This window comes from Homo sapiens, chromosome 1 (assembly GCF_000001405.40).
Source record: "Homo sapiens chromosome 1, GRCh38.p14 Primary Assembly".
Lineage (NCBI taxonomy): Eukaryota > Metazoa > Chordata > Mammalia > Primates > Hominidae > Homo > Homo sapiens.
The window spans coordinates 225,808,250-225,833,029 of NC_000001.11; the positions used below are offsets into that span (position 1 = coordinate 225,808,250).

At 50.7% G+C, this 24,780-nt stretch overlaps 1 protein-coding gene across 14 annotated transcripts in view, besides 6 other annotated features; it reads left to right on the forward strand.

Moving 5' to 3' along the window:
* Window positions 1,833-2,052: a silencer, noted in NCBI's record as "silent region_1859". NCBI's record gives its function as "represses an Ori minimal core promoter by ATAC-STARR-seq in GM12878 lymphoblastoid cells {active_cell/tissue: GM12878}" and the evidence as "EXISTENCE:reporter gene assay evidence [ECO:0000049][PMID:35858748]".
* The window catches only part of EPHX1 (epoxide hydrolase 1), a 35,440-nt gene continuing 12,534 nt past the window's right edge, over window positions 1,875-24,780 (forward strand). For 5 of the 14 annotated variants that reach the window (NR_165625.1, NM_001136018.4, NM_001378429.1 and 2 more), the window contains exons 1-3: window positions 1,875-1,920; window positions 20,476-20,663; window positions 23,530-23,710. Coding sequence is in view for 10 of the 14 variants with exons in the window: in NM_001136018.4 (NP_001129490.1) it covers window positions 20,481-20,663; window positions 23,530-23,710 (364 nt within the window). In the remaining 4 variants the exon portion in view is untranslated. Of the gene's footprint in view, window positions 2,367-15,961; window positions 16,055-17,104; window positions 17,296-20,475; window positions 20,664-23,529; window positions 23,711-24,780 lie in introns of those variants that run through there. The other 9 variants (NR_165627.1, NM_000120.4, NM_001378430.1 and 6 more) reach the window with 6 other exon arrangements.
* Window positions 8,728-9,555: an enhancer, noted in NCBI's record as "H3K27ac-H3K4me1 hESC enhancer chr1:226004679-226005506 (GRCh37/hg19 assembly coordinates)". NCBI's record gives its function as "activates a minimal SCP1, AML or CMV promoter by ChIP-STARR-seq in naive H9 embryonic stem cells {active_cell/tissue: H9 hESC(naive)}" and the evidence as "EXISTENCE:reporter gene assay evidence [ECO:0000049][PMID:30033119]".
* Window positions 9,556-10,382: an enhancer, noted in NCBI's record as "H3K27ac-H3K4me1 hESC enhancer chr1:226005507-226006333 (GRCh37/hg19 assembly coordinates)". NCBI's record gives its function as "activates a minimal SCP1, AML or CMV promoter by ChIP-STARR-seq in naive H9 embryonic stem cells {active_cell/tissue: H9 hESC(naive)}" and the evidence as "EXISTENCE:reporter gene assay evidence [ECO:0000049][PMID:30033119]".
* Window positions 16,633-17,309: an enhancer, noted in NCBI's record as "H3K4me1 hESC enhancer chr1:226012583-226013259 (GRCh37/hg19 assembly coordinates)". NCBI's record gives its function as "activates a minimal SCP1, AML or CMV promoter by ChIP-STARR-seq in naive H9 embryonic stem cells {active_cell/tissue: H9 hESC(naive)}" and the evidence as "EXISTENCE:reporter gene assay evidence [ECO:0000049][PMID:30033119]".
* Window positions 16,956-17,142: a silencer, noted in NCBI's record as "fragment chr1:226012906-226013092 (GRCh37/hg19 assembly coordinates)". NCBI's record gives its function as "represses an EF-1alpha promoter that drives an FKBP-Casp9 reporter gene in an ReSE screen in K562 erythroleukemia cells {active_cell/tissue: K562}" and the evidence as "EXISTENCE:reporter gene assay evidence [ECO:0000049][PMID:32094911]".
* Window positions 19,319-20,172: an enhancer, noted in NCBI's record as "H3K4me1 hESC enhancer chr1:226015269-226016122 (GRCh37/hg19 assembly coordinates)". NCBI's record gives its function as "activates a minimal SCP1, AML or CMV promoter by ChIP-STARR-seq in naive H9 embryonic stem cells {active_cell/tissue: H9 hESC(naive)}" and the evidence as "EXISTENCE:reporter gene assay evidence [ECO:0000049][PMID:30033119]".

Here is a 24,780-nt window from a genome sequence, read left to right on the forward strand (position 1 = left end):
AGGGTTTTTAGCTTTGTCCAGGAAAGAATTCAAGAGAGAGCCCGTGGTGTGAGACAGCAACTTTTATGGAGGTGGCGGTGTCCAGCAGCAGCAGAGGGGGCCTGCTCCTGCAGTGCAGGGCTGCCCCACAGGCAGTGTGCTGAGAGCAGCAGCTCTGGGCGATTCTGCAGTCATGTTGATACCCACTTTTAGTTACATGCAGATTAAGGGGCAGTTTATGCAGACATTTCTAGGAAAAGGGTAGTAACTTTTGGGTCCTCGGGTCATTGCCATGGAAGGGGGGTGATAACTCCAGGGGCGTGCCCTGGTAAACTGACATGGCACACTGATATGATGGGCATATCTTATGCTCATCTTCCACCCAGTCCCTGTTTTAGCTAGTCCTCAATTTGGTCCTCAATCTGGTGTCCAAGCCCCACCTCTGGCGTTAAGTCCTGACTCCTACCTGTTTCACCATCACTGCAGTTTTAAGAGTAACGAATTTGGGTCCCCTGGTGAAGTGGCCAGAGGCAGAGCTTCTGTGTGAACTATTTGGAGGGGAGGGGAAAGAACTCTCCCAGACTGCAGGTTCTGAAAGGAATACAGAGATGTCAGAGACTGCAGTTGCAAGAGAAAGCTTTTATAGGAGGGTGTAGAATTAAAGGACAAGAGGACTCTACATGTGGATGGAGGAGGGCACCCTGTCCGGCAGTACTGCAAGAGCAAAAGTTTGGAGGTGGGAGTGAGGTGAGTGCGTCTGCCGGCCAGAATTCTTGGGCCAGGGTGAGCAGAAAGGTTGGAGGCCAAGGGAAGGTGGGTGGTGGTGAACCTTATCCTGAAGTGTGCAAGGTGACAGTCAGAAGCTTAGAACTCCAGCCACGGGCCCTGCATGTGGCCTCCTAGCTGTAGTCTGTCCACCGAGATCGTGAGGATGCTGGTGGTTGAAAGAACTGCACCTCTGAGCAGGTGAAGAGAGAAGCTAAGGAGGGGTGATGGCAGAGGCGATGGGACAGGCTTTCTAACGATGAGGGGCTGGGGATCAACGCTCTCACGGAAGCTAAAAGAGCCCCAGCAACCACCCGCCTGGGCCCTGAGCTCTCTCCAAAGCGGGAGGGGATTCACTAAGAGGTTGCTCCCCTGGCATTGAACTCAGCATCCTATACTGGTCCTCACCATGAAGACCCCCAAGAGTGCTTCAGACCATTGCTTCTCACATTCTCTGTATAAAGACACTAATTTGTTTTTAGATTTCCAAGCATGTCACGGACCAATATGTTTGTTAAATATACTAAGAATGAATTGCTAGAAAGATGAAATTAAAAAGACATACACCGCCAGGTGCAGTGGCTCACGCCCATAATCTCACCACTTTGGGAGGCGGAGGTAGGTGCATCGCTTGAGCCCAGGAGTTCAAGATCAGCCTAGGCAACAAAGTGAGACCCCCGTATCTACAAAACTTAAAAAATTAGCCAGGTGTGGTGGCGCAGTCTGTAGTCCCAGCTATTCTGGAGGCCGAAGTGGGAGGATCGCTTGAGGCTGCAGTGAGCCGAGATCGCACCACTGCACTCCAGCCTGGGTGATAGAGTGAGACTCTGTCTCCAAAAAAAAAAAGGACATACATCATGCAAGTTTGGATTTTTGTTTTTAGATTCAACTGACGAAGTTACGGGATCAAACTGCTGTAGGAGCTGCCAAACGCTTCTCTCCATTTCTGGCCGCGGGGCCGCGGACCGCCCTTTAAGTAGCCCGTTTTATCCCTGGCAGAGGTGGAGCCTTAGGCAGGCCTAGAGACTTTCCCGGGTCCTCCAGGCCGGGGAACGCCCCGCTCGGAGGCCGGGCTTGGGCGGAGACTGCGCCGGGGCTGCTGAAAACTAGCCGAGGAGAGCCAGGGAGCCGGAGAGATCGCGCGCCTGCCGCCGCCGGAGCCTGCGAGCCGAGACCGTAAGCGCCCGGGGCCGGCCGGGCCCGCACTCCCCGGACGCAGACGCGGTTCGGGCTCCGCGCGGGCTCGGCCGCCGGGGTGGGCGGCGGGCCGGGGCGCCGAGGGGTCGGGGCTGCGGTCGGCCCGCAGGGGTGCAGAGGGACTTGTAGTTGGTCCGCCCCCAGCTCCTGCCCCGGCCAGGAGACTGCGCGTGCCGCCTACTGGGGGAAGGAGCCTGCAGGCGACCGCGGACTTCTCGCAGGGAATTCCGCGTCCCAGACTGTGGGCGGACGCCGCAGGGAGGGAGGCTCGCGACCCCGAGAGCGCACCGCGTCCCCTGGCCTGGGCGAGCTCTGCTTCCAGGGCCGTGGCTCGCTCGGCGGTGAAATGCACTTAATTTGTCACCCAAGTCGGAACACTGATTTTCATGCGCGTCCGTGTGAAGAGACCACCAAACAGGCTTTGTGTGAGCAACATGGCTGTTTATTTCACCTGGGTGCAGGCGGGCTGAGTCCGAAAAGAGTCAGCCAAGGGAGATAGGGGTGGGGCCGTTTTATAGGATTTGGGTAGGTAAAGGAAAATTACAGTCAAAGGGGGGTTCTCTGGCGGGCAGAGTGGGGGGGGTCACAAGGTGCTCAGTAGGGGAGCTTTTGAGCCAGGATGAGCCAGGAGAAGGAATTTCACAAGACAATGTCATCAGTTAAGGCAGGAACAGGTCATTTTCACTTTTGTGGTGGAATGACATCAGTTAAGGCAGGAACCGGCCATCTGGATGTGTAGGTGCAGGCCACAGGGGATATGATGGCTTAGCTTCGGCTCAGAGGCCTGACACTGATCACACCTTTTAGTTGAAATGCGCTTTCATCTCCATCTGCTGCCGCAGCCGCCGCCCGGCACCCCCTCGCTCTGGTCTCGGGATTGAAGGCCAGCCCTCTCCTCTTGTAGAACAGGAAACTTGCCCGGGAGTTCACCTTGTAGTTGAAGCCAGGGAATGTGGTCAACCTGAGCAAAAGCGCCGCGGAGACCGAGTGGCCGCCTGCCTCCCTCCCTGGCAGATGTCGGTTTTCTCTGAGCTTCTGGCTCCTTCCTTGCCCTGGCGGCTCCCGAGATCTTGGAGGTGGGGTGCCTAGCAATGTTGTAATCCTAATTTTGACTTTTTTTTCTTAAAGTTGAATGCCCCCTCCATAGCCCACCTCCCATTGTTTAAACTTCAGGTTCCGCAAAGCCTGGATCCGCCCCTACAGGCAACACTCGTTGTCCTGGAAGTTCTGTGAGGGCTCAGCTTGTGGCTGGAGGTGGGAGGTGAGGGGGACCCATGCACTTGGCAGGCCCGCTTCCAGGACAGCCCTTTGCTGGGATTGATGAGCTGTTGGTGGAAAATTGTTGAGGACCTTGGGGTTGGTGGCTGTTTCGGTACCACTGTGCAGCCTCCTCTGCATCCAGCATAATTTAAAATAAACATTTTCAGGAAGCCACACTTCTCCAGAAAGTAACATTGTTTTCTGGTGTAACGGTTGCCTCCTTCAGGGAGCTAGGTTTGGGGGATAATAGGGGGCCTTTCACTGGCCCCACTTGGTCTGACTTAGCAGCAAAAACTCTGCGAGTGCTCTCCAAGCAGTTTTTCTTTCCCAAATTTCCACACCTAGGAGGCGCTGAGGAGGCATGGGCGGTACTTAGGAACTGCTCACTGTGGAACTGAGGCACAGCGGGGAGCATGCCCTCGTGGGATTTGCAGTTCTAGGGGCAGAGGGATAATAAACAAAATACATTTGTAAACTATAAAGTATGTTAGAAGATGATGTGTAATATGGAGATAAATAAAACTTTAAAGAGGGGAGAGGAGTGCCAGGTGGAAAGGGAAGGCCTCACTGAAGGGTGGCACTGGCATAGACCTGAAGAGTTAGGGAGCAGCCAAGCTGCTGCCTGGGGTGCAGGTGCAAAGGCTGGGGGCAGGAGTGTGCCCAGCTTGAATGGCCTGATGTTTGTGTTTGCAGAGTGTGGGTCAAGCTGATGAGTGACCTACTGGATAAACTGAACTAGCTCAGTCTGTAAGTGAGGGGACTCCTGAGCTTTCTGCGGCCTTCTTCCCAATTCCAGGAAAGGAAGGACCTTCCACAGAAAATAACTACTCAGCAAGACAGCCAGGGTGAACCTCAGCACCATCTGTGACAAGCCACATGCTCTCTGCGTGATGCCTCCTGCCTCTCAGCTGTGCCTGAAGCACACTAGCTGGCATGGACTTACGCGGCTGGGAACATCTTCAGGAAGCCCTGAATGAGGGCTCTGTGGGCAGAGGGACCTTTGCAGAAAGGGCATCTTGACCACTGCAGGAGGTGGAGTGACTCTCCTGGGGTGTCCTGGTTCCTGCCTGATGTCTTAAGCATAACTGGCATTTTCAGGGAGCCCAGGTTCACCAATGCACAGTGCCCCTCCTGTCGACCTGATACCCAGGCTTGGTGATTGCTCACCTGGCACCTTGATTCCCGTTCTGGTATCTTGGCCCAGGCCCAGACATGTGAAAGCAGGGGCTACCGAGATTCATTTCTCAGTTCTTACGCCAAGAGGTTCAACCACATGGATCACAGCTGGGTGTACCAAATAAGGGAGGACCAAGCATGAGCTGGTCACCCCTGCTGAAGAAGTAGCTCGAAGCCCACCCACTCGGGGACAGAGTGGGCACAGATGGGATAGACAGATAGTGATTCGAGGGGTGCCTAGGATCTCATACTGAAAACCCACCTCTGCTAGGGCCATAAATCCCATCAACAGCAATTCATTCCTTTGAGAGGTAATACAGTGATGTGGGAAGAGGATTGGGCTGGAAAAAAGACTTGGCTCATGTCCCAGCTCTGCCATTAATGTGTCCCCTCTCTGGACCTCATCTGTAAAATGAGGTTAGGCTCAGCGATCTGCAGGCCTTCTTGCAGCTCTGCTATGTGATGATTCTGTGGCAAAGTCTGAAGGGATTTCAGGAAAGGAATGTGTAGGAGGGAAACAGTAAGTTTTGAAGGGACTCAGTGGGCCCTGTAGCCTCTGCTGGGTCCAGTGAAGACACTTCAACTAGAGTGAAGGCCCTGGCCACAGGGTAGGGGAGGCAAAATCTTAAGAGTTCAAGAGCCCTGAGTCAAGGCAGGAGGGTCACTGCCCAGCCCAGCTGGCCCCCTGGGCTGCCTGTGTGTGGTTCTTGACCCAGACCTAGTGGCTTAGGAGCAGAGTCTCCAAGGGGCTGTGGGATAAGGTGGGGATTGCAGGAGGGAGAAGGCACCCCAGCAGTTCCCCCGTTAGGGGACCAAAGCGTTGCCAAGGATCCAGCCACACCCCTCTCCTGAGGAGGGAGGAGCTGGTGGGCGCTCCAGGAAGAGCTTCCTCTCAACAAGGAGAAAACTGCGCAATCCAATCCTCCGTTATATAACTGAGCACACGATTGTGCAAACCAAGCTCACACTGAGCAGCCTCCCCTATTGTCAAGGTTTATTTACTTTCCCAGGGGAAGTCATAGTTCATCCTTTCTCAGCAGAAAGCAGCCATTTGACTGCCACAGCCTGACCTACGGCATTCCAGGAGATGGGTTCAGAGACCTGGTGTGGAGTCCTCATGCCCACCCGCCCTGCTGTCTGTGTCTTTCCGTCTGTTGCCTGGTGGGTGGGTGTGGTTTAGTGCATGGTCCAGCCCCCGCACAGCCACACCCATTAGGCTCTCCAAGGCCTAACTGAGCAAGCTTGCAGAAGAGGGGAAAGTGTTCTTTTCTCTGAGGAGTTAAAGAGACTTCTGGAAAATTCTCCAGCTACTCCACAAACTAGGATCACAGGCCTTGTTCTTAGGTCGGGAGCAGGAGTTTTTGCTGCCTTTAGCATTTGGGAAGTTTGATGAATAGAGACTGAATTTGAATGTCTTTTTGGTACTTAAGAGCTGGATTAACTACTTCACATATCTGAGCTTCATTTTTAATTCTTTTTAAAACAGAAAAAGTGGCTGGGCAAGATGGCGCACACCTGTAATCCCAGCATTTTGGGAAGCTGAGGTGGGTGGATCACTTGAGCCCAGGAGTTCTGAGACCAGCCTGGGCAACAAAGTGAGACCTCGTCTCTATAAAGAATAAATTAGCTGGGAGTGGTGGAGCACACCTGTAATCCCAGCACTTTAGGAAGCTGAGGCAGGAGGATCTCTTGAGCCCAAGAGTTCAAGACCACCCTGGGCAACATAGCGAGACCCTGTCTCAAATAATTTTTAAAAAGAAAAACTACCTCTTCTTAAGATGGTTGTAGTATGGGAGATGGTGTGTTTAAGTCTTCCCACCCCAGTGTCACAGCTCAGGGCTTCTCTAGCCTTCCTCACAGCGGTTGGGGGTGCCCAGACACATCCTGAAGTCTAGGCCGTGTTCTGAGTGTCTCTGCCACGGGCCCGCCTGGCTGGCTTTAGTCCAGGAGCAGCCTGGACTGTGACTCTTGAAGGCTGTGGGAGGCTGGTGACCGGGAGCAGGAGGTCTCAGTGCATCCCTGAAGGGTCAGAGAGCCATGCCGTGAGAGGCCAGGAGCAGGCAGCCATTGGCCCTCCAGCCCTCACCAAAGGCCACCACCTCAGCTTGTCCTCTGGCAACTCAGCCTGGGAATTTGCTTTCCCTGTGGAACGAGAGACACTGGCCGCATTGAGGGGTGACTTTCCGGTCCTACAAAATTGTAGCCCTCTTTCTGCTAGAACTGGTGAGACTTGGCTAATTTCGGAGAGACTTTAGGAAAGTAAGAGAAATACATTGGTCCCAGTGCCAAGCCCCAAGGCCATCTTTCCAGGTATGGGTATATCCTGCAGTGATAAGAGAAGACTGACTCTTACCAGCTCTTTGGGGGAAATGAATATACTTTCCCACGTTCCAGTTTTTCTGGCTGTGGCAGGACCTGTTTGCTGCCAAGTTGTTCCTGTGGGGAAACAGCAGTGGGCCCAGCAAATGTAGCCACCAGGTCGGGGCACAGCCACCAGGTGGAAGAAGCAACCCTGCCCTCTTCCGGTTCCATGTGTGCCTCACTGAGGCAGGACTTCCAGACCCTACCAGGAAGGCTGCTATCCGGGTCATAGTGATACCCTGTCAGGACATCGTTGTTTTTGTCTTGTTTTTTTTTGAGACAGGGTCTGGCTCTGTTGTCCAGGCTGGAGTGCAGTGGCGCCATCTCAGCTGTCTGCAAACTCCGCCCCACCAGGCTCAAGCCATCCTCAGCCTCCCAAGTAGCTGGGATTACAGGCGTGCACCACCATGCCCAGCTAATTTTCTTTTTTTTTTTTTTTTTTTTTTGTAGAGACAAGGTTTCACTGTGTTGCCCAGGCTGGTCTTGAACTCCTGGGCTCAAGCGATCCACCTGCCTCAGCCTCCCAAAGTACTGGGATTACAGGCGTGAGCCACGGCACCCGGTCGAGATGGAACATCTTAATTTCAGAGTTGCCTTCAGGACTGTTGATTGAACCCCATAAATATTTTTAGTCTTTTGGGACTTTTAAACTCCTTTTTGAAACCTAAGCATTGCCACAAACAAACTAACCTTCACCACGACCAAACAACCCAGAACTCGGACCCTGGTCCTCGGGCTGCCCTACAGGAAGCACCCCTAGTCCTCTTGCTGCTCTGCTAGATGAGACGGCAGGCTCAGGTTCCTCCATGAGGCCCGGCTTTCAGTGCTCTCCTGTTACACACTGCAAGGAAGCTTCCAGATCGTGGAGCACATTGTTGAGGAAAAGACACCTTGGGGAGAAGGGGGAGGTGCAGAGTGTGGTTAATGGTGGGAAGGAACTCCGGTAAGTGTGTTATATGATCTGCTCCTATTATCCCCTGGAATAGGAGCCTCTCTCCACTCAAGTAGAGAATGCCAAGGACTGGCCCGGCATGGTGGCTCATGCCTGTAATCCCGGCACTTTGGGAGGCCAAAGCAGGCGGATCGCTTAACAGGAGTTTGAGACCAGCCTGGCCAACATGGCGAAACCCCTTTCCTACTAAAAATACAAAAATCAGCCGGGCATGGTGGTGGCAGGTGCCTGTAATCCCAGCTACTCAGGAGGCTGAGGCATGAGAATTGCTTGAATCTGGGAGGTCGAGGCTGCAGTGAGCTGAGATTGCACCATTGCACTCCAGCCTGGGCAATAAAGCAAGGCTCTGTCTTTAAAATTAAAAGAAAAAACAAGTTATTCTAACTTTTTTTAATTTTAAAAGATTAAAAAAAGAGAATGTCAAGGACTGAAATTGCATAGAGGGCAATGCTTTTTCTTTATAGGTGGTGAACTGGGTTCTGCTTGAGTTTTTTCTCTGGTAATTTAGAACCAATGGAAGCAACTCAACAGCTCTAATTTTAATTGGCAGAATGTGAGATGGAATGGGACCTCAAATGAAACTCCAGGCCAAGAGCTCATGAGCCCTGCAGCATGTGGGGCATCTCTCGGTCTTCTTGAGTTCTGTAACTTAAAGTTTGTGTGGCCTTTAAAGAGTGTGGAAGTAGCCGTCCCCTCTCCGAAGGTGCACAGGATTTGGCCAGCCCACCCGCGTGGCCTTCCCCTTCCCCTCTCCAGACCCTCCACAGCAGATGGGGCCACGGAGGCCTGGAGAAGTGGAGTCACTGACCTGAGGCTACATGGCTGGCAGGCAGCAGGGCCAGGCAGCAAAGCAGGCAGTGAGGGCCTAACTGCCCGCGGGCTGGCTCGGGGCTCCCTCAACCACATTGGCATCCCAGTGCCAATCCCAAATTGTTTTCTTTCTATCTCTCCAGACATGTAGATAGCATGGAGGTGGAGGGAATTCCCTCCCACACAGAGGGCGATATGCCCCAGAACAGCACTCCTGCCCCCAAGAAGGCTGTCTCCTGACACTTTTTACTGCTCTTTTACTCTCCCCCAGCTTTTTTTTTCCTGCTTGTAAACTGCATTTTTCCTTTCCCTTGGTTTCTGGCTCTAAGCTGTTTTCCCAGGGCTTGGCTCCGGCGCTTGCACAGAGATAAACACGGCCATTGGCCTGGTGCACAATCCCAGCTTGCCTGCATCCGGCCTCTTCCATCCTGAGTCTCCAGGGGTCCCTGGGGTTCAGGGACAATGGCTGAGGGAGAAGCTGGGAGTTCCCCCCAGGGTTTGCCTCCGTCACTCTTGGGCCAGCCAAGGGAGTGGGGCTGGGAGCTTCAGGATGGCTTTTGGGAAGCCCCTGGGAGCCCCAAGGCTTGGGTAGCTGCTGACAGGGAGTTCACAGCAGGAACGCTCCCAGGCTCCCATCCTGCGTCCGCTTGGCAGGCAGGCCAGGAATGGGAGGGAAGCCATCCGTTTTTCCCTTTCCACTGGATGTTCCCTTCGCCTTCCCCAGGGAGGAGTGATGAGGCTGGGGTGCTGGGGAGGGCAGTATGGGGGCAGGCTTGGGACCAGGCCTGCAGAAGCAGCAGACCCTCCAAGCCCACCTACCTCTCTGGCCTGGCATCTGAGGGGCAGGTCATGCCATAGTTTTTCCCTTACCCTCTCTGCCCCCACACTTTCCTCCCCAAAGTGGCAGACTTCCCCCAGGAGAAGCACTGGCTTTTCACGCTGCTGTGAGTCTCAGTCACTATTAGAGAAACACAGTCAGAGCCAGGCCTGCCCAACTGTCGCAGGGCTGGGTCCACCTCATGGCCTTTGTTCTGGAAAAATACTTGGGCATTCTGCCCTGCAATGCACTTAGCCAAGGCCGGGCACATGGCAAGTGCTGAGTCATGGCCGGCTAGCACTTTACTGCGATTTTAGGAGCACTTTCTTGTGGTGAGGTTCTGACTGCTTGCTTGGGTTGGGGGAGGGGAGTCTTTGGGCAGGCGGTAGACCTGCCCTTTACTTTGTGTGGCCGGATCTGAGTCTGACCCCATCTTTTTAGACCCAAAACCCTGATATTTGTAGTGCGCCTAGGATACTGGTTCTCCAGTCTTCTTTGGGGTCAGGGGGCGTTATAGTGCCTCATGCCACCTACTCAGCCCTCTTCCTGCATCTTATGGTCTGTCTCTACCAACTAGGCTAAGTAGGTTATATTTATTATTCCTCAAGGGGAATTCAGCTCTTCTTGTTCAAAAGTTCTGATTAATTTTCTATGCTCTCATTCAAAGAATTTTTAAATTCATTCATTCATTCAACAAATAATTAAGCTTCTACTAGAATGCCAGGCACTGAGAGTCCAGATGGGAGCCAAAGCAGACATGGTCAGTGGCCTACAGGAGCTTCCGTCCAGCTGTCAGTCACATAATCACCCTGACAAATGTGAGCTCGACGAAGGCTAGGACTGAGAGATCTGCCTTGCTGGGATAGGTCAGGAGAGGCTACCCAGAGGAGGGACAGTCAGTCTGAAATCTGAAAGGTGGATAGAAGTTAGGGAGGTGGGAAGGGGAGGGAATAGCTTTTCGACAGAGGGATTCGCCTTCATAAAGCCCCACAGTAAGACAGCATGGTGAGCACAAAACTGAAAGATCGGGGGGCAGCGTGAGATCCCAGCCCTAAAACTCTCACTTAGCTTTCAAGTAAACTGTTTCTCCATAATATTGATACCAGTAGCACTCTGAGGGGCTAGGGGAGTGGTGAGATCACACAGGCCTTGAAGGCCACACTAACCCAAGGACAATGGGAAGCTCTTTAAGGGTTTCGCAGGGGATGGGATATACATGATCAGATTTGCATTTCCAAAAGATCACTCTGGCCTGGCTCATGCCTGTAATCCAGCTATTTGGGAGGCTAAAGCAGGAGGATCACTTGAGCCCAGGAGTTTGAGACCAGCCTGGGCAATATAGTGAGAACCTGTCTCCATTAAAAAAAAAAAAAAAAAAAAGGTTTGTATGGTGGCTCACGCCTGTAATCCCAGCACTTTGGGAGGCGGAGGCGGGCGGATCACGAGGTCAGGAGATTGAGACCATCCTGGCCAATATGGTGAAACCCCATCTCTGCTAAAAATACAAAAAATTAGCCGGGCGTAGTGGCGGGCGCCTGTAGTCCCAGCTACTTGGGAGGCTGAGGCAGGAGAATGGCGTGAACCCGGGAGGCGGAGCTTGCAGTGAGCCGAGATTGCGCCACTGCACTCCAGCCTGGGCGACAGAGCGAGACTCCGTCTCAAAAAAAAAAAAAAAAAAAAATACAAAAATTATCTGGGCATGGTGGCATGCGCCTGTAGTCCCCGCTACTCAGGAGACTGAGGCAGGAGACTTGCTTGAACCAGGGCGGAGGTTGCAGTGAGCCGAGATCGTGCCACTGCACTCCAGCCTGGGGACAGAGAGAGACTCCATCTAAAAAAAAAAAAAATGTTTTAAAAAGATTGCTGTGGCTTCAGAGTGGCCATTGTGTTGGAAGGGGTAGAGCAGATGTGAGTGGACCGGGCAGGGTAGTAGTCCAGGGGAGAGCCACAGGAACCTGGGCTGGGTTGGAGATGGATTTGAGATGTACTTTGGAAGTTCAGCTGCCAGAACTTACTGATATCTGTGGCGGAGTGAAGGAGAGGGGTTTCAAGGACGTTGCCTGGGTTTTTGGCTTGGCAGTAGCAGGGCGGGTAATGTCAGTTACTGAGGGAGGGAACACCAAGAGAAGACAAAGTTTAGGGGGACAGGATCACAGTGCGATTTCAGATGCACTGGAGAAAATTTTGACACAAGGTACTGTCTGGGCCCCAGGTGGCTCTGCTCTAATACATTTATAACTCTTTGTCCGCACTTAATCACTCTGTCATACTTAGCTGCCAGGGGGCCAAGAAATGTCAAGTGTTTGGCTGGTCTTCTCCAACTAAAATTAAAAATCCTTTGCTAAGGAAGAAGGAGAGAACATTGCTAGCAGTCTGCCTCAACATCCCAATCTGATGGCGTATTTGCCGCAGCCACCAGCTCATCAAGGACAGCTGCGGTGAACCTTTGAGTTCTGAGTAATCTCCTGTCTGGGCCACCTTTCTTCACTCAACCACAAAATCCTCACATTCCCAAGTATATTTTCTTTCTTTCTTTTTTTTGTTTTTTTGAGACAGAGTCTTGCTGTGTTCCCCAGGCTGGAGTGCAGTGGTGTGATCTTGGCTCACTGCAACCTCCGCCTCCTGGGTTCAAGCAATTCTCCCTGCCTCAGCCTCCTGAGTAGCTGGGATTACAGGCATGCCCGGCTAATTTTTGTATTTTTAGTAGAGACGGAGTTTCACCATGTTGGCCAGGCTGGTCTTGAACTCCTGACCTCAGGTGATCTGCCCACCTTGGCCTCCAAAGTGCTGGGATTACAAGCATGAGCCACCACGCCTGTCCCCAAGTATATTTTCTTAGCTCACTCTTTTCAGCATGTAATTTACAGAAGGGTAATCTGAATTGTAAACACGATTTCTAAGTTAAAACTCCTGGGTCAGCTCGTGATGAAGTAGCAATTTATAAAAGAGATAGTATAGTAATAAATGAGACAACTACACTCGGAAATGTGGAATCATCAACTCTTATGCGAAAATAGCCTATGAGACTCTTGTGTTTTTTCATTCATGCCATGCGCTTCCTCACTTCCATCCCATTCCATTCCACATGCTCTTCTTTCTGCCTGGATTATTCCCATTCCACCATTATTTTTCTCCTGGTAAACTCCTATTCATACTTAAAAACCCTGCTCAATGACCCCTTCTCTGTGAAAACTTTGTGGCAAAACCTAACCACTTCTGCTTGTGCACACTTCTCTTCCATCTGTGTGCATATAGTATGTGTCTATAACTGGAAGGGTGTTTATCTGTTATCCGTTTGTCTGCCCTGCTAAAGTGTGAGCTCCTACAGTTACAGGGTTGTGTGTTAGTCCTGGTGCCTGCACAGTACCCAGCCAGTAGTTACACTCAGTGTTGCTGAACCAACCTCTGGTCCAAAAACATGTTTATACTTGCTTTTCCAAGGCGCCAATCCAAATCTCTTATTTACTTTAAAAAACAAATAACTTCTTGGCACTTTAAAAACCACATTCAAATAACAGAAAAAGAGTTCATTTGAACTTTAAGTATCAATCTTAAAATGAATTGTATGTTTTAAAACTTGACTTAGTGACATCACTTAAGAGAATTTTTAAAAAGCAAACTTTTATTTTTACCCCAGTGTAACAAATATTAAGTTCCATTAAATTATTAAACTGATCTACCTTTTCTTTTTTTTTTGAGATGGAGTCTTGCTCTGTTGCCCAGGCTGGAGTCTAGTGGGGCAATCTCGGCTCACTGCAACCTCCGCCTACCCAGGTTCAAGCGATTCTTCTGCCTCAGCCTCCCGAGTAGCTGGGACTACAAGTGCACACTACCACACCCAGCTAATTTTTGTGTTTTTAGTAGAGACGGGGTTTCACCATGTTGGCCAGGCTGGTCACGAACTCCTGACCTAAAGTGATCTGCTCGCCTTGGCCTCCCAAAGTGCTGGGATTACAGGTGTGAGCCACCATACCCAGCCTGTTTTTCATTTTTTGGTTCTTTTTTTTTTTTTTTTTTTTTTTTGAGACAGGTTCTTCCTCTCAGGCTGGAGTGCAGTGATCATAGCTCACTGCAGCCTCAACCACCTGGGCTCAAGCAATCTTCCCACTTCAGCCTCCCGAGTAGCTGGGACCTCAGGCATGCACCACCATGCCTGGCTAATTTTTTTTTATTATTTGTGGAGATGGGGTTTTGCCATGTTGCCCAGGCTGGTCTCAAACTCCTGGGCTCAAGTAATCTACCTGCGTTGGCCTCCCAAAGTGCTGGGATTACAGGTGATTTACCTTTTAACTGTGCCAAAGAACAAAGCACCTACTTTATTTGCTCTCCTGTATTTAAAATGGTCCTTTATACCTCAGATCCAGAAAGATAAACACAAGTAAACTAACAAGTACTCTACTTGTATCATTTGTTGTTTTCTAACAGTTTACATTTAGTCCATCTTTGAAGGGTAAAGACCATTGATTGCTCATCTAACTTCTTCACCTTGAACTTAGTGAGATTTTCTTCCACCTTTCACAAATGCATGCCCAAAATTTGACTTCAGTGTAGAATTGGAATTAAAATGTATGCAATCCCATTTCTTACAGTAGGAGCCAAATGTTCATCAAGTTCCCCTCTGAGCTCAGTATCTTGTAGCTAAATGACCACTATCTTCCAGTCACGTTTTTAAAAAAAATCATGCTGGTTTGCAACAAAAATTGTATTTTCTTTACTAGGCAAGTGAACCATTTTGTTGGGAAGAGTACCTTGGCTTCGAGAAAAAAATGATTTCATTCTGAAAGGCTTCCCCTCCAACCCCCTCCTGCACAAACTCTCAGCCCAGTAACTTGTCAGTATTCTGGAAAAGTGCATTACAAAACAAAAACTCGAATCAGATAAAATATATCTCTGGAACTTTTGAGGCAGATCAATGAAGCTCTGATTTCAGGTGCTAGCAAAATAAAGCAGGCACTCTCATTTTGTATTGTTTTACTTCTCAGTTTTTCATGGTGTCTCCTAAACTTTGATGTTTTGAAGAAGTTCTAATGTTTGCTACATCAGCAGGAGCTGACCACAGGGAAGAGATAAATATAGCTCTCCTTGGAAAGGTGAAGGCTTAGCCACCAGAATTCTGCCCCTTGATGCTGAGAATGCACCTTCTCCGAACAGATGGAAAAGAGGGGTGGAGATTACCCCAGGGACATATCTTGCAAAATGCTGATACCCGAAGATGTACATAGCCTTGTGCTTTGGTCATCCTCCCAAATCATGTCCTTGGTGAAGGCACATGGAGAGGAGAGCAGATGCTGCCAGACCACGGTGCCTGACGCCATGCACTCCCTCACGTCCAGCCTGTTTATGTGCACACGGCTGCAGCGGGACCTTGGGGTGTGGGCTAAATAACAAGAACAGGGGCTCCTCTGGGGTCTGTTACAAGGCAGAGATGCTCCACGGTAATTAGGGATTTAGGGGAAGAGGAAGGAACACACATGTTGATAATAAGTAGTTCAACATTATTATCCCCATTTTACAGATGCAGCTACTGAGCTTAGAGAGGTTTCATAACTTGCCCAGAGCCCCTCAACTAGTAAACAGTGGAGCCGAGATTTGAACGACCCAAAGAGGAAAGCAAACAAGCAGCCCCTTTATTACTTTTTTTTTTTTTTAAGATGAGGGTCTTGCTATGTTGCCCAGGCTGATATTGAATTCCTGGCCACAAGTGATTCACCACCTTGGCCCCACGAAGTACTGGGATTACAGTCATGAGCTACCACACTGGGCCAAAGCCCTCGTATTGTAACCTCCAAGATGTTTTCATTTCTAAAGTCAAAGGTTGTCAGAGTTGCTGTTTTGCAGGGAGCCATGGGATGGGGAGTCTCCGGGAAACCCAGGCTGGCTCCTTAAATGGCATCACCCAAGTTGGCCATCAAGCTTCCCCAGACTCAGTCACTCGGCCCCCTCTTTCCCTGGCTGTAGAGCAGGGGTTTGGACTCGAGGCTGCTGAGTTCCTCTCCAGCTTCCATGCCCAGTGGCAGTGACTTATCAACTGGCCCACCCGGTGGATGTAGGGGTGATGCAGCCCTGCTCTGTCCTCTTGAGTGCTGGGTGGCCATGAGAGAGGGAGGCCATGAGAGGGAGGGGAGGGTTCTCATCTGCTTAGTGCCACCCCCTCCCCAGCCCACCCCAGGTCCTCTGCCGCCTTGGGTTCCTGCGTGAGCAGTCCTTCTCACTCTGGGCGATGTTCGCTTTCACCAGCCCAACCCCAAGAAGTCCACCCTGGGGAGGACAGAGGGAGTCTCCACGGCTCCACACCCCCATGCTTTGTCGGAGATCTGGCCAGGCAGAGTGGTGCCCTCTTGACTGAGCCTCGAGCCTTTGCTTTCCCCTTACTCCACATAAAGCCGCAGCCCTGGCGAGGGAGCCCAGAGGCCTGAGGACAGCCTGCTGGGTGCCTGGCACTCTCTAGATCCTCCCTGCCTGGGCGGTGGGCATCTGCAATTCTCCCTGTCTCGAACTGCAGCAGAATGTGTGGGCAGGGTTAGGCAGATAGAGAGTGGGTGCCTGGACTCATTGGTCAGACTCTAAGACCGCCCACCCCCGCCGCCCCCGCAGTCCTTCCCAGGACTGGCTGACCCACCAGATAGGGGAGGGTGTTGTTTCTTATTATTACATTTTTTGAGAAAAGCTATGCAGGCCTGGGAGACGTCTGTGCCCTAGGAGTCCCTTCTGGCCTGAAGACTCAAGGCTGCAAACAGGTGCTGAGAGGGAACAAGAAGGGGAGTTGGGGTGCAACACACCCAGTGACAGACCAGGAGTGAGTGCTGTGGCCACAGATTCTAATCCTCACAACTGCAGTGTGATTTAGGCTAAGCCCCTTGCCTACTCCGATTCTTGCCTTAAATAAGTGAAAAGGAAAGTCAAGTTTGATGAGTTGTGGCTCTTTAGTGGGTGGATTTGCATGTACCATGGATTACATTTACCAGGGTCTAGGAATTGTCAAGCGCCCAGCAGGCTGCCATCAGGCCTCCGAGCTCCTTCGCCAGGCGGCTTTATTTGGAGTAAGAGGAAAGCAAAGGTTTGAGGCTCAGTCAAGAGGGCGCCACTCTGCCTGGCCAGCTCTCCGACAAAGCAGACGGGGGGGTGTGGAGCCGTGGTGACCCCCTCCGTCCTCCCCAGGGTGGGCTCCTTGGGCTTGGGCTGGTGGAAGTGAATATTGCCTGCAGCAAGAAGAAGGACTGTTCATGTGGGAGCGCAAGGCGGCAGCGGGGTTGGAAACCCACCCCCACACAGTCAACACCTGCTGTCACACCAGGCTAATCAAGAACACTTTTCTTTGGTGCATTAACCACCTGCTATTAAATAAAGGGCTGTTACTAGGTGGCAAAGTAACACACTGCAGTAGAGCCTATTTGTAATCTGAGATCAGTGGCTGTAAGGCACCATCCTTGAGCCAAGCAAGTACTAATATTCTTGTTATCTTAATTAGAATGCAAGAGATCGTGTTTTTAAAATTCTCTTTGAATCTGTCACTTTGCCCTCCTCTTCCTGGGTGATACACCTGGTAGTGCTGGTGGGGGCCATCATAATGCCCCTTGTCCCAGATTCCCTTCTTTTAGATGGGACTCGAGCACTGATCATTTCAGCCCTGTATCTCTCAGGTCAGCGTGGTTCAGTTTGCTGTGCAGAGTCCAGGGGAGATAACCACGCTGTGCACACATGAGATTGGCTGACTTGGCAGGACTGTGCAATTGTCAGAAGGCCGTGGGGAGTGGGGGCCAGTGCCTGCAGCCTGCCCTGCCTCTCTCACAGGCCCTTAGAGCATCGCCAGGTGCAGAGCTCCACAGCTCTCTTTCCCAAGGAGTAATCAGAGGGTGAGAACGTGGAGCCTGGTGGACAGGTGAAAGCACTGGGATCTTTCTGCCCAGAAAGGGGAAAGTTGCACATTTATATCCTAGAGGGAAGCGACAGCAGTGCTTCTCCCTGTGCTGAGGTACAGGTAAGGAGGGTGGTTTGTAAAGTTCACTGGGGAGGGTGATCCCTCTTTATTGTTCTAATATTATGCTCGCAGCCTCCTTGACAACATCATGCAAAATGTGTCTTACTAGCTTCTAGTGCATAAAATATTGGTGGAGCTCTTCGCTGTGCTGGGCCAGTCACCAGTGCTGGGCACTGTGGGTCAAGGCAGTGCCCAGGACGGGCACAGCCCTGCCTTCCCAAGCTATGGTTTATTGTGGTAGGATCTGCCTGCCCAGTGAAGTGTGTTCAGCTGCTCCTGTTGCTGGGGGAAGCTCTGCTCTCTGCCTTCGGCTGCCTCCCACACGCTCCCATGTGTCTCCCAGTCCCTAACCCCTAGTCCTGCTTTCAATACCGCAGGGGCTTTTAGCTGACTTTTCTCCATCTTCTTAAAGGGCAGGATTTCCTGGCAGAGACATAACGTCTTTCTGGAAATGAAAGAAGCTGATGCATGTTTTTTCTTTTCTGAATTACTTAAATAAGAGGAACTCATTTCCAGGTATTCCCTGCCTTGTTTTTATTGTGGGAGTGTGGTCCCAGCTGCCCATCTGATCAGCTGACATAGGGTCCTTGGGGCCCAGGCACTGTTACTGCTTGGGATTGAAAGATGAAAGCCACAGGGCCAGGCACAGCAGCTCGTGCCTCTAATCTCATCACTTTGGAAAGCCGAGGTGGGCGGATCGCTGGAGGTCAGGAGTTTGAGACCAGCCTGGCCAACATGGTGAAACGCTGTCTTTACTAAAAATACAAAAATTAGCAGGAGGTGGTGGTATGCACCTGTAATCACAGCTACTCAGGAGTCTGAGGCACGAGAATCTCTTGAACCCAGGGACAGAAGTTGCAGTGAGCCGAGATCGCACCACTGCACTCTTTGAGACTCTGTCTCAAAAAAAAAAAAAAAAAAAAAAGGGAAAGCAATGGCCTGGCTTGGCTGGAGATGGAACATGCATCAACGTGTCCCACGTGTCTCCAGCAGGGATAGCGAAGGCCTGCCCCCTGGCACATGGTAGACTGAGTAAATGTTGATCAGTGAGACCTTGAGGCACTTTAGAGTTTCACAATCCAGAGAGGGAGATAGATTGGAAGTTCAAGGGTGGACACCTGGGCATGATTCCCAGGACGAAGGCTGCAGTCGGTTCTAAGAAGTATGCTGGTGACTATGAGAGAAGAGGTTGTGGGTTTCCTCTCTTGAAAGCTGTCTCCATAATCACATGTGGGGTGATAAGGGCTCTGGTCCAGGGGAGGGGGCGAGGCACACAGGGGGCTGAATCTGATGGCATGAGGACTTGGTGATGGGCTGTGGGGAAAGAATTGGAGATGACTCTAGGGCCTGAGGGTGGGAAGCTGGGAGTTCACTGGGATCACTGATAGAAACGCGGAGGTGGGGGGTGCCAAGCTGATTTTCCTGATTAGATTTCCTACAGAACTGCAGGAATAAGGCGAGAGCCATCGCCCTGGGTGGATTTCTGTTTGGAGCTCTATCGCTGGACCACTGTGGACAAGTATTTCATAGAACGACCCCCAGTAGCCCAATTCTAGGTTTAGAGGGGCAGCTCTTGACAGGAGCAAACTCCAGGGCCTCTGCAACCCCCCAGCAGAGTCCCAAACATCTGACATGTAGCCAATGGAGGACATGCAAGTGGTGGGGTTCCCAGCAGGGACCACCTCCTGCCTTGGGTTTCCAAGACAGAGCGAGGGGCGCTGCTGGGGCGTGGTTTGCAGGGGCCTTGTCAGAACTCGATGCTTTCTCCTCCGTCTGGGTCCTAACTGCAGTGCATCTAGAGACCCTCCTCTGACTCAGGCATAAGGACGGCCCGCATATTCATGCAGGTTACTCTGAACAAGAACAGTCTATGGGTTACTTCCCTAGGAATGAGGAAGATGAAGAGCTAGATAACAATGCTGGGCTGGTATCTGCCTGATAGTGCTTTGCCAAGACTATGGTTTCTTCCTCTTCTGATCAAAAAAGACACAGGAGTCAGACAAATGGGGATTAAAAGACAACTGAGTTGATGTGAAATGTAACAGGCAACACTATGGACACAGAAAGTAGATTAGAGGCTGCTTAGGACCTAACGTGGAGGGCAGTAGGGGAGCGACAGCTGAAGGGTATGGAGTTTCTCCGTGCCGATGAAAATGTTCTACAGTTGACTGTGGCTATGGCTGCACATGTCTGTGAATATCCTAGAAACCACTGGAGGGTTCACTTTAAATGGGCGAATTGTATGGTATATGAATTATGTTTCAATAAAGCTCTTACACAGCTAAGCTGTGTGGCCATGGCTGGGCTTCCTAGCAGTGTCCCCCAACCCCAAATTGAACTTACTCTCCCAGCACTTGGGCCTCCCCATTACCCCGTCTGCCCTGAGGATAAGCCTCTCTCCAAGAAGGACAGAGCAGGGGCTGTGGGCCACCATTCAGGAAAGGTGCTCCTCTCCCCTGGGGGAGGGAACCCAGAGGTCATGGACAGAAGCCTTCTCAGACATGCAAAAAACATGAGGCTGTCGGGCGCCGTGGCTCACACCTGTAATCCCAGCACTTTGGGAGGCCGAGGCGGGCGGATCACGAGGTCAAGAGATTGAGACCATCCTGGCTAACATGGTGAAACCCCATCTCTACTAAAAATACAAAAATTAGCTGGGTGTGGTGGCACGTGCCTGTAGTCCCAGCTACTCGGGAGGCTGAGGCAGGAGAATGGTGGGAACCTGGGAGGCAAAGGTTGCAATGAGCTGAGATTGTGCCACTGCACTCCAGCCTGGTGACACAGTGAAACTCCATCTCAAAAAAAAAAACAACATGAGGCCTCAGAAATGTAGCTCCCAAAACCCCCTACCCAGGGCTGTGCAGAAGCCAAACCAGGTTCCTATTTTCCCAGGATGATGAACAGTTTTCAAAGCTTAGTAGGATTGTGGGTGATTTTGTCTCATTGTCTGTTGTTTTTCCATTTTTCTAGATCATATATATATAATATTTATACTATATATAATATGTATATAGTGTGTGTATATATATATATAATATGTATATATTAGGTCAAGTGTAAATAAAATCAGGGACAGGGTTGGAGCGCAGCAGGAAAGAGCCTGCTGGGGATCAGAGTCTCTGGGCTGTCAGGGCCGGGCTGGGCGGGCTCCGTTGTTAATGGCTTCCCCTCATCTTGCAGGAGCCATGTGGCTAGAAATCCTCCTCACTTCAGTGCTGGGCTTTGCCATCTACTGGTTCATCTCCCGGGACAAAGAGGAAACTTTGCCACTTGAAGATGGGTGGTGGGGGCCAGGCACGAGGTCCGCAGCCAGGGAGGACGACAGCATCCGCCCTTTCAAGGTGGAAACGTCAGATGAGGAGATCCACGTAAGGCACCTTGGGCCGGGCCGGGCTGGGCAGTGGAGAGGGTGGTGTGTCGAAGACAGGGGTTGGGTCTTAGGCCAGATGCGGGAGGGGACGGGGGCTTGGGAATGGTCCATCCTACTTGGGAGTGTGTTTCAGTCTGCTTTTCCTCTGCTGGGCAGGTGCAGGTTGCTTTGGAGAGGGATGCCCAGCCCTCCCACTTTCTCTCTTCTCCTTTCCCTACCCAAGGCCCAGCAGTGCTCAGGCAGGAGATGGGGTAACCTGTATCAAAGGTCACAGAAAGCAGCTGTCATCACCTCCTCTATGCCCTGCCTGAAGCCTTGGGAGTGAGGTTGTGGGAGAAAGTGAGCAGGTTCCCGTCAGAGACCCAGGAAGCACTGAGAAGGCAGGGATGCTACTGGTTAGGCACCGGCTGTGTGTCAGCCATTCCTGGTCACATTCAATCCCTACGGTGATCCCGCGGGGTGAGGATTGTTGTTCCCAAACTGCAGATGCAGAAGCTGAAGCTCAGGGGCATAAAGCAACTCGTTCAAGGCGGCCTAGCTAACATGCGGAAGGATTTGAAGTCCAATCTAATCCTGAAGCTGCTGCCCCTCCTCTGCACAGGGATAGAGTCAGGAAGGAGGTGACTGGGCAGGTGGGGTGAACTGAGAATGCATTCTCGGGGAGGAGCAAGGCTTGAGTGGGGGACAGGACGGTAGGCAGGCCTGGCATGGCCCTGCCAATCCTTTCTTTCATTCCGTGGGTTTTGAGCACCTACTGTGTGCAGGCCCAGTGAGTGCTTGGGAGAAGAGACAGCCCCTTCCGTCCAACAGCATACAGTCCAGTGAATGAGAAAAGGAATGTGCACAAAGAAAAGTAGACTAAAAGATAAATAAAGATAGGCTAGGTGCGGTGGCTCACGCTTTTAATCCCAGCACTTTAGGAGGCTGAGGCGGTGGATCACCTGAGGTCAGGAGTTCAAGACCAGCCTGGCCAACATCGTGAAACCCCGTCTCTACTAAAAATACAAAAAATTAGCCGGGCATAGTGGCGGGCACCTATAATAATCCCAGCTACTCGGGAGGCTGAGGCAGGAGAATCCCTTGAACCCAGGAGGCAGAGGCTGCAGTGAGCCAAGATCACACCACTGCACTCTAGCCTGGGCAACAAGAGTGAAATGCCATCTCAAAAAAAGAAACAGATGCATAAGGATAAATGTCACAAAAAGCATGGATAAAAGTCATGAGAGTTCCAAGGAGGAAGAGATTTAAAAGCAGAAGCTGGGCTAAACCCAAGAGCAACCAGGCTGAGGCTCCCTGGGTAGGACTTGCTTGCTGCAGCCTTGCTATTTAGGGCCAAGGCTGAGCCCTAAGGAAAGCTCCTTTAGGGAATTAGACTCCTAAGGGAGTCTGAGATTTCCAAAATCTGTTTGGGGGTAACTGAAACACTTGGGAAGAAGCCTGGGAATGGTGATGCTTGAGAGGCTCTCTAAGCTGACATGAACTTCCTCCCTCTGGGGCTGGCCTTTTAGCCTAATACATGCCAATGAGACTTGCACCCTCTCTCCTGGTCTGTAAATTTTTTAGTTTTTGGAGACAGGGTCTTGCTCTGTCACCAGGCTGGGGTGCAGTGGTGCGATCTTGGCTCACTGCAACCTCCGCCTCCTGGGTTCAAGCGATTCTCCTGCCTCAGCCTCCCAAGTAGCTGGCATTACAGGCACCTGTCACCATGCCTGGCTAATTTTTGTATTTTTAGTAGAGATGGGGTTTCGCCATGTTGGCCAGGCTGGTCTCGAACTCCTGACTTCAAGTGATCCACCTGCCTTGGCCTCCCAAAGCACTGGGATTACAGGCGTGAACCACCGTGCTGGGCCTGGCCTGTAATTTTTATCCCAACTCAGTTATAATGTATCATTCAATGTTGTATATCAGGGGTCAGGAAACCAGGCCCATAGACCAAATGTAGCCTGCTACCTGTTTTAGCACAGCGCCCATGCCAAGAATAGTGTTTACCTCTTTAAATAGTTAGGGGGAAAAAAATCAAAAGAAGAATAATAGTTTGTGACGTGAAAATTATATAGCAGTCAGATTTCAGTGTCCATAAATTTTTATTGGAACACAGCCACCCCCATTCATCTGTGCATTGGCTATGGCTGTCCATAAATAAAGTTTTATTGGAACACAGCCACCCCCATTCATCTGTGCATTGGCTGTGGCTGCTTTCACACTATGAAGACAGTGGAGTCACTGCAGCCTGCAAAGCCTAGAATATTTACTATCTGGCCCTTTACAGAAAAAGTTTGCCGACTCCCGCTGTAGAGACGCCTGGGTAAATTAAAGATGAGTATCGTGTATACACTTAAAGAGTAAAAGATGAGCTGGGCGCAGTGGCTTACACCTGTAATCCCACCACTTTGGGAGGCCAAGGCAGACAGATCACTTGAAGCCAGGAGTTCAAGACCAGCCTGGCCAACATGGCAAAACCCCGTCTCTACTAAAAATGCAAAAATTAGCCGGACATGGTGGCTCACACCTGTAATCCCAGCTACTCTGGGAGCTGAGGCATGACTGGCTTGAACCTGGGAGGTGGGGGTTGCAGTGGGCCGAGATCACGCCACTGCCCTCCAGCCTGGGCAACAGAGTGAGACCCTATCTCAAAAAAAAAAAAAGAAAAAAGAAAAAAGAAATGCGAAGTCTACAGTGAAGAAGGAAGAAGTGAAGAACACATCCGCTTTGGGAGTAGCCAGTGATGTGGGAAACTGCCTTGCCACTCCCAGAGGGCAGTATCTTGTGGCTGCAGGGTTTGCTGTGTTTTCTGGAAACAGACTTTGCTCTTGTGCTCTGTCCTTCCCATCCCTCTCAACTTGGGGTCCTGAATTTTGCTCCAGGACTTACACCAGAGGATCGATAAGTTCCGTTTCACCCCACCTTTGGAGGACAGCTGCTTCCACTATGGCTTCAACTCCAACTACCTGAAGAAAGTCATCTCCTACTGGCGGAATGAATTTGACTGGAAGAAGCAGGTGGAGATTCTCAACAGATACCCTCACTTCAAGACTAAGATTGAAGGTATGTTTGCAAAACGCCAGCCAGAGAGGGATGTATGTCATGAGAACAGCCTTCTTCCACAATGTGACTTACAGTCAGATAAAGTTGGAGAGATTCAGAACCCAATTATAGGTGACTGAGATGTACTTATACGTTGTAACCTTACTAAATGCAAAAATATTGCAGTCACAACAAATCTGTCCATCTTTAGAGCTAGGCAGGAACACATACATGCAATTTAAAAACCAAAGAAATGCACCATCCAGTCCAATGATGTGGCAATCTTTGAGAGGAAGGATGGAGATGAGATTTAGACCCAGGCCAAGTGGGGTGGCTCAGAACTGTAATCCCAGCACTTTGGGAGGCTGAGGTGGGTAGATCACGAGGTCAAGAGTTCAAGCAGCCTGGCCAAGATGGTGAAATCCCATCTCTACTAGAAATACAAAAAATAGCCAGGTGTGTTGGCAGGCAGCTGTAATCCCAGCTACTCTGGAGGCTGAAGCAGAGAATTGCTTGAAGCCAGGAGGCGGAGGTTGCAGTGAGCCAAGATCGCGCCACTGCACTCCAGCCTGGGCTCCATCTCAAAGAAAGAAAAGACTCTGCTCTCAGTTCTTTTGGATCTATACTCAGAAGTGGACTTGTTGGATCATACGGTAATTCTGCGTTTAATTTTCTGAGGAACCGCCATACTGCGTTCCGCAGCAGCTGCACCATTTTACTTTCCCACCCAACAATGCCTCAGAATCCCGATTCTCCAAATCCTTGCCAATATTTTTTTCCTTTCTTTTTTTCGGTAATGGTCATCCTAATGGGTATGAAATGGTATCACATTGTGGTTTTGAGTTGCATTTTCCTAATGATTACTGATGTTGAGCATTTTTTATGCGGTACTTATTGGATTCTTTGTAATTTCTCCGAAGAAATGTCTGTTCATGTCTTTTGTCCATTTTTTGGGTGTTTTATTAGGGTTTAGGAGTTCTCTATATATTCTGAATAAAATCTCTTATATTTGCAAATGTTTTCTCCCACTCTGTGGGTTGCCATACAATTAATCTTTTTCAGAGACAAGGTCTTGCTGTGTTGCTCAGGCT